The following is a 14,782-nucleotide window of genomic DNA, read 5'->3' on the forward strand; positions in this document are numbered from 1 at the left end:
GAAATGGATCAGGCTACCCAGAAGCAGGTTTCTGCTCAGCATCAGGTCAGCCACCACTGATGAGATGACTGGTCCCTTGCAGGACCACCTGAGGATTCATAAGGGACCCATCAACACAGTGTTTAGATACTGCCCAGGGTGGGGAGAAATGGGAGGAGCCAGCCTAGGGGAGCATGAGGAGCTTGGGTTCTCACTATCCCAGGCAGAGGAACCAGCTCAGCCCCAAGCTCTGATACAGATGGCAGAAAGGAGCTGGCATCCTTCCAGCAGCCCCGTGCTCCCGACATGATCATCTGGGAGGGTTCTGGTGGGTGTGAATGTCTGGCTTTCCTACAGAGAGCCCTCCTTCAAGGGACCCTCTGGGGGAGCTATGTCCTGCCAGGAACATTGCTGAAGGGATCCCACTCTTGAGAATAGGATGGATTTGGAGCAGTGGTTTTTCCACATCTGCTCTAGGGAGGTGCTTCAAGAACCACTGTGGATGCAAAGTGTGGGGAAGGAAAGCTGACTGGTGAGAGCCTGGGCCTGTACAAGCTATTCTACAGTAATGTTCTGTTTAGTGTATATTTTAAAGAATAAGGCCGGGTGCAGTGGCTCATGCCTGTAATCCTGGCACTTTGGGAGGCCAAGGTGGGTGGATCACTTGAGGCCAGAAGTTTGAGACCAACCTGGCCAACATGGTAAAACCCCATCTCTACTAAAAAAAAAATACAAAAATTAGCCAGGTGTGGTGGCACATGCATGTAATCCCAGCTATTCAGGGGGCTGAGGCAGGAGAATTTCTTGAACCTGGGAGACAGAGGTTGCAGTGAGCCGAGAACGCGCCACTGAACTCCAGCCTAGGTGACAGAGCGAGACTCCGTCTCAAAAAAAGAAAAAAAAAATTTATATACCTGCAGAATAATTCTGCTGGTAAATAGTCAAGAACTCACTGAGTGGGCCAATATGTATGAACACACCTCTGTTGCACCTTTGCTGTCTGCTCTTCTGTGTTCTTGACCCGTGTTGCCCATTTTTATCCTCAGAAATACTCTATGAGATGTGCGGCGACTGGCCCCATTTTCAGGCAAGGAAATGGCACAGAGAGTGGGAGAGCTCGCCCAAGGCTCACTGCTGGTCAATGGCAGTGGCTGGGTTTTAAGCCAGCCACACTGACCCTGGGCCTCCACTCTTTCCCATGGCGCTCTCCTGATCCCTCTCCCCACCTCACCTCTGAGGACTATGATTTGGTGTTTCTGTCCTTGATCAGATGACCCTGGCAACTCTGAATGAATGTGCCTGAGTTGACTTCACTGCCGATCCCTGTGTGTCTCCCTTCGGAAGCGCAATCCTGTGGGGCAGGAATGCAATCTGATGGAGGGAAGGAGCCTTCCCCAAAGGCCGGCCTGGGGCCCAGCCTGGGTATATGTGCAGCCTGAGTATTTTTCCATAGATGTGACTGGGAAAGGTTTCTGAAATGAGTGGCCTTGGGGGGACTTCCTAAGCTGGTTGGCTAGGGAGTAATAACATTTCTGAACAATCAGGCTGTCCCCAGTGCCCTGTCTCTGGGCCTCCTCTAGCTCCCTCCCCTTCTGTCTGGGGCCTGCCTTGGGAATGCTCTCTACCCCCGTTACCCGGCTACCAAATCCCACGCCACCTAAAATGCCCAGCTCTGGCCCGGTGCCTTCTTCAAGCTTTCCTAATGGTCGCCTGGGCCAGCATCACTCAGGCTGAGACATCATTATAGACATCCCCCCGCTTACAATGATTTGATTTATGATTTTTCAATTTTATGATGGTGCAAAGGCAACATGCGTTCAACAGAAACCATACTTCAAATTGTGAATTTCGATCTTTTCCTGGGCTAGCAGTATGTGGTAGGATACTGCCCCGTGATGCTGGGCAGTGCAGAGAGTGCAGCTCCCATTCAGCCAGACGATCACGTGGGTGAACAACCTGATACCACATGCTGCTGTGTCCTGCATCCAGTAAGTTACATGAGAGAGTCAACACTTTGTTATAAAATGGGCTTCGTGCCAGATGATTCTGCCCAGCTGTAGGCTGATGTAGGTGTTCTGAGCACATTTAAGGTAGGCTAGGCTAAGCTGCGATGCTCAGTTGGTTAGGGGTATTAGGTGCATTTTCGACTTATAATAGTTTCCATTTATGATGGGCTTATCAGGATGTAACCCCTTCATAGGTCAAGGGGCATCTGCACTTGACTTTCTACCTGTGCAGATCTTGCCTTCTCAAGTAGGTCATATATTTCTTGATGGCAGCTTCTCTGTCTTGGTATTGGTAGGGGTCCTTGGGAAAACTTTTTTTGAGGGGCTTGGGCCTCCCAAGAAAATATCACTTGACAACGAGACCTTCTTCCTTTGGTCACCAGGTTTCCTACTAAATTAATAGAGTCCACAGGCCTTCAATTATAAACAGATGATGCCATGGCTTCACCCACTGGGTCCCTTGGAGGAAGGTGTTTCTGGAGGACCCACCAGAACCCTCCCAGTTGCTCATGTTGGAAGCATGGGGCTGCTGGAAGAATGCCAGCCCCTCTCAGCCAACGGAGACCATGTGCCCCTATCTGCAATGGTGAAGACTGGAGCTCTTCACTCTCTTCAGGGTTGAGCTCCTCCAGTTTCTCCCCACCCCTATCTAAGACAGGCAGCAACACTGCAACTTGCTGTTGGCCCACTCTATCTAGTGAAAATATTATCTCTCTTAAGTTGTATCATTTAATGATACTGAAGTGGCGTCATTGTCTGGGGTAAATACCTGAGGTTTGTTGTCTCAGCCAAGAAGGTTAAGGACACAGACACACACCAGGAGAGAACTTAGGAGTGGAAGATTAATAGGCAAAAGAAAGAGAAAAGAGAACAGCTCTCTCTCTCTTGCAAGAGAGACAGGGGTCTCAACGGGAATTCTGGCCTGTGCCTGAGTGCACTGGATATTATAGACTGGCTTGAGGAGGTGGTGCCTGATTTACATGGGGCCCACAGATTGGTTGGACCAGTTGTGAAATTTACATAACACGCAGGGTAGGCTAGCTACCCCATTCTAATCTTATTATGCAAAGGGCTTTCCACTTGGTCTGTGCTGTGTTGTCTGCTTCTTACTGTACACGTGGAAGTAAGGAGTGGCAAAGAGAAGGGAACACGGAGCCGCCATTTGGAACATGCCTAGCTCCAGGTAGCCTTTTCCTATTGGCACAACTGCCGGCATTCACCGCTGCAAGTTTCTAGCTTACTTGTCTATGTCTGCAGCTCTATTTTATAGGCTGCTCTTTGTTAGAAAAGAAAATGATTTGGGGGCTGTTTTTCATTAGAAGAAAAACCTTACCAAGGACTTCCTTACCCTTACTATCTGCCCAAATAATTTCCTCTTAACTGATATCAGTACTGTAACATAGCCTATCCTATCATGATGTAACTGAGCAACCCCATTTTTCTAAGACAAAAAGGTTTAAAAATTTTTTTTTCCTTTCTTTTTTCTTTCCTCCTTTTCCCCGTTTCCCACTTTCTACTTAGCTCTTTTTTTTTTTTTTTTTTTTTTTTTGAAATGGAGTCTCACTCTGTCACCCAGGCTGGAGTGCAGTGGCGCGATCTCAGCTCACTGCAACCTTCTTCTCCCGGGTTCAAGCGATTCTCCAACTTCAGCCTCCTGAGTGTCACGCGCATCCATGTAAAGAGTCCACCAAGCAGGCTTTGTGTGAGCAACAAGGCTGTTTATTTCACCTGGGTGCAGGCGGGCTGAATCCGAAAAGAGAGTCAGCAAAGGGTGGTGGGATTATCATTAGTTCTTATAGGTTTTGGGATAGGCGGTGGAGTTAGGAGCAATGTTTTGGGGGCAGGGGTTGGATCTCACAAAATACGTTTTCAAGGGTGGGGAGAATTATAAAGAACCTTCTTAACAGTGGGGGAGATTACAAAGAAACTCCTTAAGGGTTGAGGAGATTACAAAATACATTGATCCGTTAGGGTGGGGCAGAAACAAATCACAATGGTGGAATGTCATCGGTTAAGGCTATTTTCACTTCTTTTGTGGATCTTCAGTTGCTTCAGGCCATCTGGATGTATACGTGCAGGTCACAGGGGATATGATGTCTTAGCTTGGGCTCAGAGGCCTGACACCGAGTAGCTAGGATTACAGGTGTGCGCCACCAAGCCTGGCTAATTTTTGTGTTTTTAGTAGAGACAGGGTTTTACCATGTTGGCCAAGTTGGTCTCAAACTTTTGACCTCAAGAGATCCGCCTGCCTCGGCCTCCCAAAGTGCTGGGATTACAGGAGCGAGCCACCATGGTTAAAGAGCCTCTACTTAGCTCTTTAGAAATGTAATTACAACCTTTACCTTCCCTTCACCAGGCATTCCCTACAGGGCAAGCTTATCTAACTACGTGCTTACTTAGAACCTCCATAGCCAGAACGCTGACCCACTGGGAGAGACAACAGTCAATTTGCCACCTAAAGTATGCCCTTGACCCAACTCTGTCCCACCTGGCGAGTATCTTGAAACAATGGCCATTGTACAACCTAGTTCTGCTTGTGGTGGCACCAGCTGAACCACCTGGTAGATAAGGCACCAAAGTGAGTCATGCAGACCCCCACCTGCTCGCTCCCTCCTCTGCATGCCATGCATGCATGCCAAGTCCCCCTTTAAAATCCCCTGATTTCTGCCCCAAAAGTAAAGCAGTACCCTTAAAGGCAGGAGTCTGTACTTCTTCCCCAAAGCTAAGTCTTGGAATAAAGGCACTTTCTTTATACTGTTACCAGCAGTGAATCCATAATGGTCTGCAGCAACCTCAATTCTTGCCTCCTTAGAAGAAGGAATTTACCTGAAGGATATAAGGCAGAGTGACAGAGGAAGGCAAGTTTTACAGCAGGAGTGAAAGTGTATTCCAAAGCTTTTGAGGCCGGGTGTGGTGGCTCATGCTTGTAATCCCAGCACTTTGGGAGGCCGAAGGCAGGTGGATCACCTGAGGTCAGGAGTTCCAGACCAGCCTGACCAATGTGGTGAAAGCCCATCTCTATTAAATATGAAAAATTAGCCGGGCATAGTGGCGCATGCCTGCAATCCCAGCTACATGGGAGGCTGAGGCAGGAGAATTGCTTGAACTCGGGAGGCGGAGATTGCAGTGAGCCGAGATTGCACCATTGCACTCCAGCCTGGGCAACAAGAGTGAAACTCCTGTTCAAAAAAAAAAGTTTCAAGCGGGAACAAAAGGAAGTAAAGTGCACTTGGAAGAGCACCAAGTGGGCTACTTGAGAGATCAAGTGCTTGGTATGGCCTTTGACTTGGGGTCTTATACATTGGCATGCTTCTGGGGAATTGCATCCCTTCTCCCCTGATTTTTCCCCTGGGGTGGGCTGTCCACCTGCGCAGTGGCCTGCCAGCACTTAGGAGGAACCACATGTGCGGCGTGTTTACTGGAGTTATACACGTGCTCATTTGAGGCACTTTTCCCTTACCAATTGAGTGTTCCTAGAGGAACGTCATGTACCAGTTACACTCCGCCATTTTGCCCCATGGTGCGCATGCTTGAGCCCACTCTCCCAACTCCTAAGATCTTATTGTTGCTGATCACCAGCTTCAGGTGTTTCTATGTGTTGACAGACTGCCTTTCCCTGGTGCTGGCTCCTACCAATTATTATTTTAGAGAGACAACTAACCACAGTCTGACCATCACTTGATGACCACCTGACATTCCTGGGGTGGGGTTGGGGTGGGAGGGACCCTCTCCTGCCCTGCTCATATCTGCCTGACAATATCAGACCTTGCTCTTGTTCATTGCATTCTGCAAGCGATGAGTGACTGAACCTGCATTTTCGTTGCAATGGTAACCCATAACATATCTCTCAGTGTAGGGCCCATGTGGTTAGTTCCTCCTTTAGAAATGAGGAAATTAATTTCAATCAGACCAAAGAGACTTATTTATTTCCCTACTGCATTTTAGCACTGAGTGCTGTACATCATAGGCACTAAGTCAACATTTGTTGAGTTGAGTGGATGGAGTATGGGAGCTCCGGGAAAGTTCACTTCTGCTCTGTTCAGTCAGGCTCCTATTCCAGATGTTCAGAGTTGATTATGCAATCCTCACGATGTTGAAAAGCTTCCTGTAATATGATGATACATAGAAGAATGTGAATGGTTGGTTTGTTTTCCTGGCCTGTCAGAGCACTGCCAGATGTACAAGGCTGCCTTTGTACTCAGGGCTTGGCTGCTGATAAAATGGTCTAAACACTTGTAAATCGTATCCTATTGTCATGTAGGAAGAGCTTATATAAGTGAATAATCGCTATCTAATTGATCCCTTTGTGTTTGCTTCAAGCTATATGCCATCGATATGTGACTGTTAAAGGGTGGTTTCAAAAAGGGTAAAATCATCACTCTCACACAGACATAAAATGAACACATGGTAGATTTTTTATTTAACTCACCATTAATGAGGGAACTGGTAAGATCTTACAAGGGCAATCCAAGGAATGGACACATTGATAGATCAGAGATATTGACATGAACATGAAAATGGCAGCAAAACTAACTGGCTTCTTCCACAGCAGGAAAGGGAATGTCAGTTGAAGCTCCACCAGACAGGTTTTTTTTGTTTTGTTTTGTTTTGTTTTTGTTTCTGTTTTTGTTTTTTAACGTATGTATAGACAAAAATCACTCTATTGGCTGCTAGTTATCTACAATGTATAAAGTTGTAAAATAGCTTAATTCAATGAATCAGAGAACCTGGAAGAATGAGCTCTAAGCTATGTATCGTTTTCTATTGCAGACACTTAATAATCTTTTTTGTTTATTACAAGCTTCCTTGGCAGTGGTGACATTTCAAGTGAATAGGGAAAAGGACACACTATCCAACAAATAGTGTTGAGACAATTGGATTCACTGTGAAAAAATAAAATCATGTTGTGATGCCATACTTTAAACAGAACAAATTTCAGGTGGATTAAAAAATGAAATATTAAAATGGAAACTTTTAAATCTTTAGAATAATATGCAGGAGAATATCTTTAGTACCTTAAGGTAGGGAAGGAAATATGACAGAAAAAAAACCACAAACTGTACCAAGGAAACCATAGATTTGACTATATCTAAAACAAAAACCTTTTCTTTCGTCAAGATGCCCCAGATGGCTGGGTGCGGTGGCTCACGCCTGTAATCCCAACACTTTGGGAGGCCGAGGTGGGCAGATCACTTGAGGTCAGGAGTTTGAGACCAGCCTAGCCAACATGGTGAAACCCAGTCTTACTAAAAATACAAAAATTAGCTGGGCATGGTGGAGCACGCCTGTAGTCCCAGCTACTTGGGGGGCTGAGGCACGAGAATTGCTTGAACCAGGGAGGCAGAGGTTGCAATAAGCCGAGATTGCACCACTGCACTCCAGCCTGGGTGACAGAGTGAGACTCTGTCTCAAAAAAAAGAAAAGATACCCCAGATAAAAACTATTGCATTGCCTATGGCCAGTAAAGGATCCACTTTCCCAGAATGTATAAAGAGCTCCTGCAAATCAAATCAGAAAAAAATCAACAACCCAGCAAAAGCGGGGAAGCTCTAGGAAGAGACTGTGAGTGCAAATGACTCCGCACTGCAGTAGCCCCTGCACCGCCTTTCGGAAGAGCACTTGCATCCCAAACCATTAAAAGGAACCTACTGGGACAACTGTGGCCCCCGAGGTTTACCGAATGCCAAGTTTATCCCCACTCTGGCTCCATGTCCTCCAGGACTCTAGACCAATGTACAGACTTTAACAATTGCAGTTGCTTTGAAGATTCTCACTGTGGAGGTCAATTCTGCTTCCATTGTGGAAACCAGGATCTCATCCATCCATCAATTCATTCAATAAATCTTTTTTTTTTTTTTTTTTTTTTTGAGACAAGGTCTCTCTCTGTCACCCAGGCTGGAGTACAGTGGCATGATCATGGCTCATTGCACCCTTGACCTCCTAGGCTCAAAGGATCCTCCCACCTCAGCTTCCCAAATAGCTGGGACTACAGGTGTGCACCACCATGACCAACTAATTTATAAATTATTTGTAGAGATGCGGTCTCATTATGTTGGCCAAGCTGATCTCAAACTCCTGGGTTCAATCAGTCCTCCTACCTTGGCCTCCTAAAGTGCTGGGATTACAGGCATGAGCCACTGTACCCAGACACTCAACAAATCTTTAGTGCCCACTCTGCGCTGGGTATAGAGGATATGGAAGGATGCCACCTCCTGGAGCTTCCCCCCAAAGGCAGATGAAGAAGTTAAATCCCAAATGGAGACGGGCACTAAGGAAGGGCTCTGGGACCCTACCTATGCTCACCTTTGGTTTGCCCCTCAACCCACCCCTGTGAGTTCATGGGGTGTATTTTTTCCAATTGATTCCATACTTTCAGAGAAGTTACACAAACAGTACAGAGAATTTTCAATATACCTTACACCCAGCTTCACCCAATAATAACTAATGTCTTGCATAACTGTAGAACAGTTACCAAAGCTAGGACATTAGCCACAGAATTTATTCAGTGCTCACAAGTTTTCCCGTTATTGTCTTTTTCTGTTTCAGGTTCTGATATGCTTTGGATTATGTCCCCACCCAAATCTCATGTTGAAATGTAATCCCCATTGTTGGAGGTGGGGCCTGGTGGGAGGTAATTGGATCATGGGACCAGTTTCTTATGAGAGGTTTAGCACCATCACCTCAGTGCTGTTCTCATGATAGTGAGTTCTCATGAGACCTGGTTGTTTAAAAGTGTGTAGCCCCTCCCCCTCCTCCTCCTGGTCCAGCCATGTGAAGTGCTCACTCCCCCTTTGCCTTCTGCCATGATTGTAAGTCTCCAGAGGCCTCCCCAGAAGCCAAGCAGATGCCAGCATCATGCTTCCTGTACAGCCTGTGGAATCATGAGCCAACTAAACTTCAATTAAACCTTTCTAAATTACTCAATCTCCAGGTTTTGTTTGTTTGTTTGTTTGTTTTTGAGACAGGGTTTTGCTCTTGTTGCCCAAGCTGGAGTGCAATGGCGCAATCTTGACTCACTGCAACCTCCGCCTCCCGGATTCAGGCAACTCTCCCGCCTCAGCCTCACAAGTAGCTGGATTATAGGCATGCACCACCATGCCCGGCTAATTTTATATTTTTAGTAGAGACGGGGTATCTCCGTGTTGGTCAGGCTGGTCTTGAATTCCTGACTTTAGGTGATCCACCCGCCTCGGCCTCCCAAAGTGCTGGAATTACAGGCATGAGCTACGGTGCCCAGCCTCAGGTATTTCTTTATAGCAGTGTGAGAAAGAATTAATACAGCTTCCAATCCTAGATCCACACTGTAGTCAATGTTACACATCCTTAGTTAGCCCTAGTCTGTTCTTCAGTCTTTCCTTGTCTTTCATGACCTTGACATTTTGAAGGGTACTGGCTAGATACCTTGCAGAACTCTTCCTCACAATTAGGTTGAGGTGATATATTATTGCAGAGGATGCCACAGAGATGATGAGCTCTTCTCGGTGCTTCAGATCAGGGGTGTGGGATGCCGATGTGTATTCCTGGTGAGGCTGATCTTCACTGCTTGGTTAAGGTGGTGTCTTCCAGGATCTTCCACTGTAAGCTCACTATTTTGCTCTTTTGTGATCACTAAATATTTGAGAGGAAATACTCTGAGATTATGCAAATATCCTCTTTCTGCTTAAGTTTTGCTTTGGGCTGTTTTTCAAACACATCCCTGATTTGGGCTTCATAAGCCTGATTATCCCCGACAGCCAGCCCTTCTTGGCTACTCAGCTGACAAAGGGCACTTGCTGCCCCTTTTGTCCCCTGCCCACAGGCACAAAGAAGCCACGCTGTTCCCACCTGGGGCAGCATGTGTGTTCCTGGACCAAACTGAGGGTTGGGCTGCTTGTTCTTGTGGCCCAATAACGAGATGCAGATGAACTAGGAAAGGACGGAGTTCATTTCTGTAACAGGGCACAGGGGGAAGGTTTGCAAAATATCGCCAGGCCAACTCAAAATTACAAAGTTTTCCAAAGCTTATATACCTTCTAAGCTATATGTCTATGTGTAAGAGTACGTTCATTTACAGACATAAGTGATTAACTTTTTTTTAATCTATAACTAAGATCTGAGTCCTAAAGACCTTCCTCTGGAGCCTCAGTAAATTTGTGTAATCAAAATGGGTCCAGGTGCTGGGGTGATTACCCTTATCTTGTCTCCTGCTAAGCCATGGAGGTTTGGGGAGTTTCTTCAGACCCCCAATAAATGTGTTTAATCCTAAACGGGTCCTGTGAAGTATTTCTTCATTATCTTGTCTTGCCTTAAGGCCCAGGAAAGGCCTAGGCAAAGCTGTTGGTGGGCTTTTGTTACATCCCAGTCTTTGTAGACGTGCACTGGCTCTTTTGGCTTTCAATATTTAACTTTACCACTCAGTCAGTGCTGAAACAGTTGTGATGGAGGCCTGTCTGTTCAGCAGTTAGGGAGACCTGGCCTGGCACAGGTGGGTGCCCTCCCCTCTCCAAAGATGTGGGAATGCTCCAAATGCCTCGAAACAAGACAGCCTGCTTGACAAGGAGCTGGGAAGAAATTTCAAATGAAGATGAGCTACATAAGTTAGTCTTCTGCAACCTGGAAAAGTGAAGACTGGAGGGGGTATAACAGGGTCAACATGAACTTTTGTTTGTTTCTTTAAATGCTGGCAAACTGGGGCATAGTGTGGGGTAAGGAGAGCTTGAAACTTGAAGGAACTTGTTTTAAATATCAAGGCAAAAAAGCTGGACTCTCCAGCATGGGAAAGACACATATGAAATTAGTTACTCAAGAAGCTAAACAGGCCAGGTGCAGTGGCTCATGCCTGTAATCACAGCACTTTGGGAAGTTGAGGCAGCAGGATTTCTTGAGCCCAGGAGTTCAAGACTAGCCTAAGCAACATAGTGAGACCCTGTCTCTACAAAAAAATCAAAAAAATTAGCTGGGCCTGGTGGTGCACACCTGTGGTTCCGGCTACATGGGAGGCTGAGGTGGGGAGGATTGCTTGATGCCAGGAGGTGGAGGCTGCAGTGAGCTGTATTTGCACCACTGCACTCCAGCCTGGGTGACAAGAGTGAGCCCCTCTCTGAAAAAAAAAAAAAAAAAAAAAAAAGAGGTTGAACATCTGAAGTATGCTCTGAGGCTATGGGTACACATCTGAATGGGACCCAGAATGGGGTAAGCCAGCATCACACAAACACAGTGGCCACACTCTCTGGCCACAATTGGGGCCACTGTGTATGGTAAACATGTGTGTGGCCTGGAAAGTCTAAGGCTCCAGGCTAGTCCAGTAGTCCTCAAGTTTTTGTATGAAGATGATTGGGACTCTGCTAGTCTTCCAGGTTTGAAAATCCATTGTTCACTCTCCTTAACCCCCTTAGGGGATGTATCAGAGGCATCAACCAATGCCTCCTTGGTCTTTGCCCTGTGTGTAGCCTGCCATAGCATTCTCCCTTCGCCGCACTACCCCAGCCACAGACCCATCCAGCCACATCCTGGGGTCCCATTTTTAATCTTTCATTTTTCTTTTTTTGTTTGTTTGTTTGTTTTTGAGACTGAGTCTCACTCTATGGCCCAGGCTGGAGTGCAGTGGTGCGATCTCGGCTTACTGCAACCTCTGCCTCCCAGGTTCATGCTATTCTCCTGCCTCGGGCTCCCGAGTAGCTGGGATTACAGGTGCATGCCACCATGCTCAGCTAGTTTTGTTTTTTGTTTGTTTTAGTAGAGACGGGGTTTTGCCATGTTGGTCAGGCTGGTCTCCAACTCCTGACCTCAACTTATCTGTCCACCTCAACCTCCCAAGGTGCTGGGATTACAGGCATGAGTCACCATGCCTGGCCTACTCTTTCTAGGGCTGAATTCAATTACAGCTCTCCCAGGAAGAAATAATTCTATCTCAAGATCAGGTTCAGTCTGGTATCTGCTTCCTGTTATCAGCTCCTAGTTATCCGCATACTTTTTGGGTTTTAGGCACTTTGACCACCAAAATCTCATGGTCCATCCCAGCTCTGCTCTACCCCCTGTGGTTACCTTGTCAATCAAAATTAAGGCTGTTCAGGCAGAAGTAGTTTGATAAAGGTTTATTGGATGCCAGATGTGAGGACTGACCAGGGAAGATACACCAACAGATTTGGACATATTCTAGAGTTTGTTACAAGTTGAAATGTTGGCCGGGTGTGGTGGCTTATGTTTATAATCCCAGCACATTGAGAGGCTGAGGCGGGCAGATCACTTGAGGTCAGGAGTTCCAGACCAGCCTGACCAACATGGTGAAGCCCCATCTCTACTAAAAAAAAAAAAAAAAAAAATACAAAAAAAACCTAGCCAGGTGTTGTGGAGCGCATCTGTAATCCCAGCTACTTGGGAAGCTGAGGCAGGAGAATCGCCTGAACCCAGGAAGTGGAGGTTGCAGTGAGCTGAGATCACGGCACTGTACTCTAGCCTGGGCGACAGAGTGAGACTCCATCTAAAAAAAAAAACAAAAAAACAAGAACAAACAAACCAACAAAAAACAAGTTGAAATGCTTTTATAAAATGCTTTTATAAGAAAGTTTAGAAGAAGGAAGAGGAACCCCTTATAGATGAGCCCTCCCCTCCCCTCCCCTCCCCTCTCCTCTCCTTTCCTGACAGAGTCTTGCTCTGTTGCCCAGGCTGGAGTGCAGTGGTGCCATCTCGGCTCACTGCAACCTCCACCTCCTGGGTTCAAGCGATTCTCCTGCCTCAGCCTCCTGAGTAGCTGGGATTACAGGCATGCACCACCACGCCCGGCTAATTTTTGTATTTTTAGTAGAGGTGGGGTTTCACCATGTTGGCCAGGCTGGTCTCAAACTCCTGACCTCAAATGATCCACTCACCTCAGCCTCCCAAAGTGCTGGGATTATAGGCATGCGCTGCACCCGGCCCCTGAGTTGTCCTTTTTCATTGGAGGGTACAATCTTTGGCTACAGATCACAGTGCACAGCTAAAATGTTCTACGTGCAAGACAATCAATAAAACTTTGTGATTCCAAAACAAATCAGTGTCATTTTTAGTGTCAGCAAGTTACACATGAATTAGTATGTCTTAAGGAACTCACGATAAAATTTCTGGGACTCACAATCACTTTCTTTACTCAGGGACAGAATGTAAGCCATGAATTGTAAGACCTTCCCTGGGCAGTTCATTGGGAAGCCTGCCAAATGTGACCTGTAGGTTATCAGCTTCAAACCTGAAAAGTTATTTCTAGCCCTGATCCCCTACTTGTTAGCCTGCTTGTAACCATGGAGACTGTAGATTCTGTTAAATTAACCTAAATTTGGCCTAAGAATGCTTCTGTACCTGAGTCCTTACTGAAGGAACTGCAACCTAACTTTTTTAAATTAGTTTTTTGTAGAGAAGGGTGTCTCCCTATATTGCCCAGGCTAGTCTTGAACTCCTGGCCTCAAGCAAGTCTCCTGCCTCAGCCTCCCAACATAATAAGATTATGGGAGCGAGCCATTAAGTCAGGCCCTGCAATCTACCTTAGTAGTAAACTAACTGAAACCCTAACACAGGGATATACTTTTGTAACAAATCTCCCAGTCTCAACCATTCACAGCCTCTGAGCTCCAGTCAATCACAAGCAGCCAACTAATCAGACCATGTTCAAATGAGGCAAACCTGGAGCTGTAACTGATCAAGCTGTTTCTGTCCCTCTCTTCTATTTTCCTTCTATAAATGCTGCCTGCCTGCCTGCCTGCCTTGTGGAATGGAGTTCTCTGAACCTCTGCTGGCTCTGAGGGCTGCCTGACTCTCGAGCCCTTCTTTGCTCAGTTAAACTCTGCTAAATTTAATTTGCTTAAAGTTTTTATTTTTAATAACTCATTGGTCTTTGTTTTTGTCCTACCTCGTAAGGTACATCATTGATGCCAGACATCACTGAAACGATATTCACAAAGAGCTAAAAGGTGGGTGGGGAGGGGAAAAATGAACACACAAGGACTCCCTGTGTGTCCACAGTGGCTCTGAGGTTGTCTTTGAGAGCTCAGCTTTGCATCTATCTCTTCAGTCTTCCCAAAAATTCTGTAAGTTATTTACTGCACTGACGTGATTTCCTTTCTGCTTACAGCAGTTATGGGGACTCTTTTTCTGCAACTGAACCCTGACAAATGCAAGTGAAAGAGGGAAATGACCAACAATGTAAGGAAAGGTATACAATCATAGATAAAAAGGCATTTTAAAAATTGTGAATAAATTGCATAATACTATGCTGATACATTTGAAAAAAAATAGATACATCTGATAGTTTCTCAGAATATATAAGTTTTCCAAATTTACGGAAAAGCCAGGTGCAGTTGCTGGTGACTGTACTCCCAACTACTCAGGAGGCCAAGGTGAGAGGATCACTTGAGTCCAGGAGTTGGAGGCTGCAGTGAGCTATGATGGTGCCACTGCACTCCAGTCTGGGCCACAGAGTAAGGCTGTCTCTAAAAACAATAACGAATTTACAAAAAAAAAAAAAAAAAAAAAAAAAAAAAAAAAAGGAAAGAAAGAGAAAGTAACCCACAAAGAGATAAATTAAAATGAAAAAAAAAAAAAAGCCTATCAAAGAATTATCTTCTGGATGTATACTAGGCCCAGGTGATTTTACGAGAAAATTATTTCAAATATGGGATATTTTATTTTACATTAACTGACGTACTTTTCATTAAAATAACTCTTACTTTCTCTTAGTTGCCTGGCAGCTCATTGTTCTTAACTCAAAGGCATTCACCGCTTTGAGGATATGGCAGTTCCAAGAACAAGAAGATGTTGCTAAACTTTGAGTTTCAAAGCAGGTTTTACTT

The 14,782-nt window shown here is 45.7% G+C and overlaps 1 protein-coding gene and 1 long non-coding RNA gene across 3 annotated transcripts in view, besides 3 other annotated features; one reads left to right on the forward strand and one right to left on the reverse strand.

Moving 5' to 3' along the window:
• Positions 3,078–14,782, forward strand: part of RHOBTB2 (Rho related BTB domain containing 2) — a 69,387-nt gene continuing 57,682 nt past the window's right edge. Inside the window, exon 1 of one of the 2 annotated variants that reach the window (XM_047421609.1) lies at positions 3,078–3,168. The gene's annotated coding sequence lies outside the window, so the exon portion shown is untranslated. The remainder of the gene's footprint in view (positions 3,169–14,782) is intronic. The other variant, XM_047421611.1, reaches the window with a different exon arrangement.
• Positions 4,397–5,028: an enhancer, noted in NCBI's record as "H3K27ac-H3K4me1 hESC enhancer chr8:22809645-22810276 (GRCh37/hg19 assembly coordinates)". NCBI's record gives its function as "activates a minimal SCP1, AML or CMV promoter by ChIP-STARR-seq in primed H9 embryonic stem cells {active_cell/tissue: H9 hESC(primed)}" and the evidence as "EXISTENCE:reporter gene assay evidence [ECO:0000049][PMID:30033119]".
• Positions 5,029–5,659: an enhancer, noted in NCBI's record as "H3K27ac-H3K4me1 hESC enhancer chr8:22810277-22810907 (GRCh37/hg19 assembly coordinates)". NCBI's record gives its function as "activates a minimal SCP1, AML or CMV promoter by ChIP-STARR-seq in primed H9 embryonic stem cells {active_cell/tissue: H9 hESC(primed)}" and the evidence as "EXISTENCE:reporter gene assay evidence [ECO:0000049][PMID:30033119]".
• The window catches only part of RHOBTB2-AS1 (RHOBTB2 antisense RNA 1), a 46,187-nt gene continuing 37,288 nt past the window's right edge, over positions 5,884–14,782 (reverse strand). Inside the window, exon 2 of the long non-coding RNA XR_007060857.1 lies at positions 5,884–6,090. This is a non-coding gene — a long non-coding RNA (RHOBTB2 antisense RNA 1). The remainder of the gene's footprint in view (positions 6,091–14,782) is intronic.
• Positions 9,513–10,014: an enhancer, noted in NCBI's record as "NANOG hESC enhancer chr8:22814761-22815262 (GRCh37/hg19 assembly coordinates)". NCBI's record gives its function as "activates a minimal SCP1, AML or CMV promoter by ChIP-STARR-seq in naive H9 embryonic stem cells {active_cell/tissue: H9 hESC(naive)}" and the evidence as "EXISTENCE:reporter gene assay evidence [ECO:0000049][PMID:30033119]".

Source organism: Homo sapiens, chromosome 8 (genome assembly GCF_000001405.40).
Source record: "Homo sapiens chromosome 8, GRCh38.p14 Primary Assembly".
Classification (NCBI taxonomy): Eukaryota; Metazoa; Chordata; class Mammalia; order Primates; family Hominidae; genus Homo; species Homo sapiens.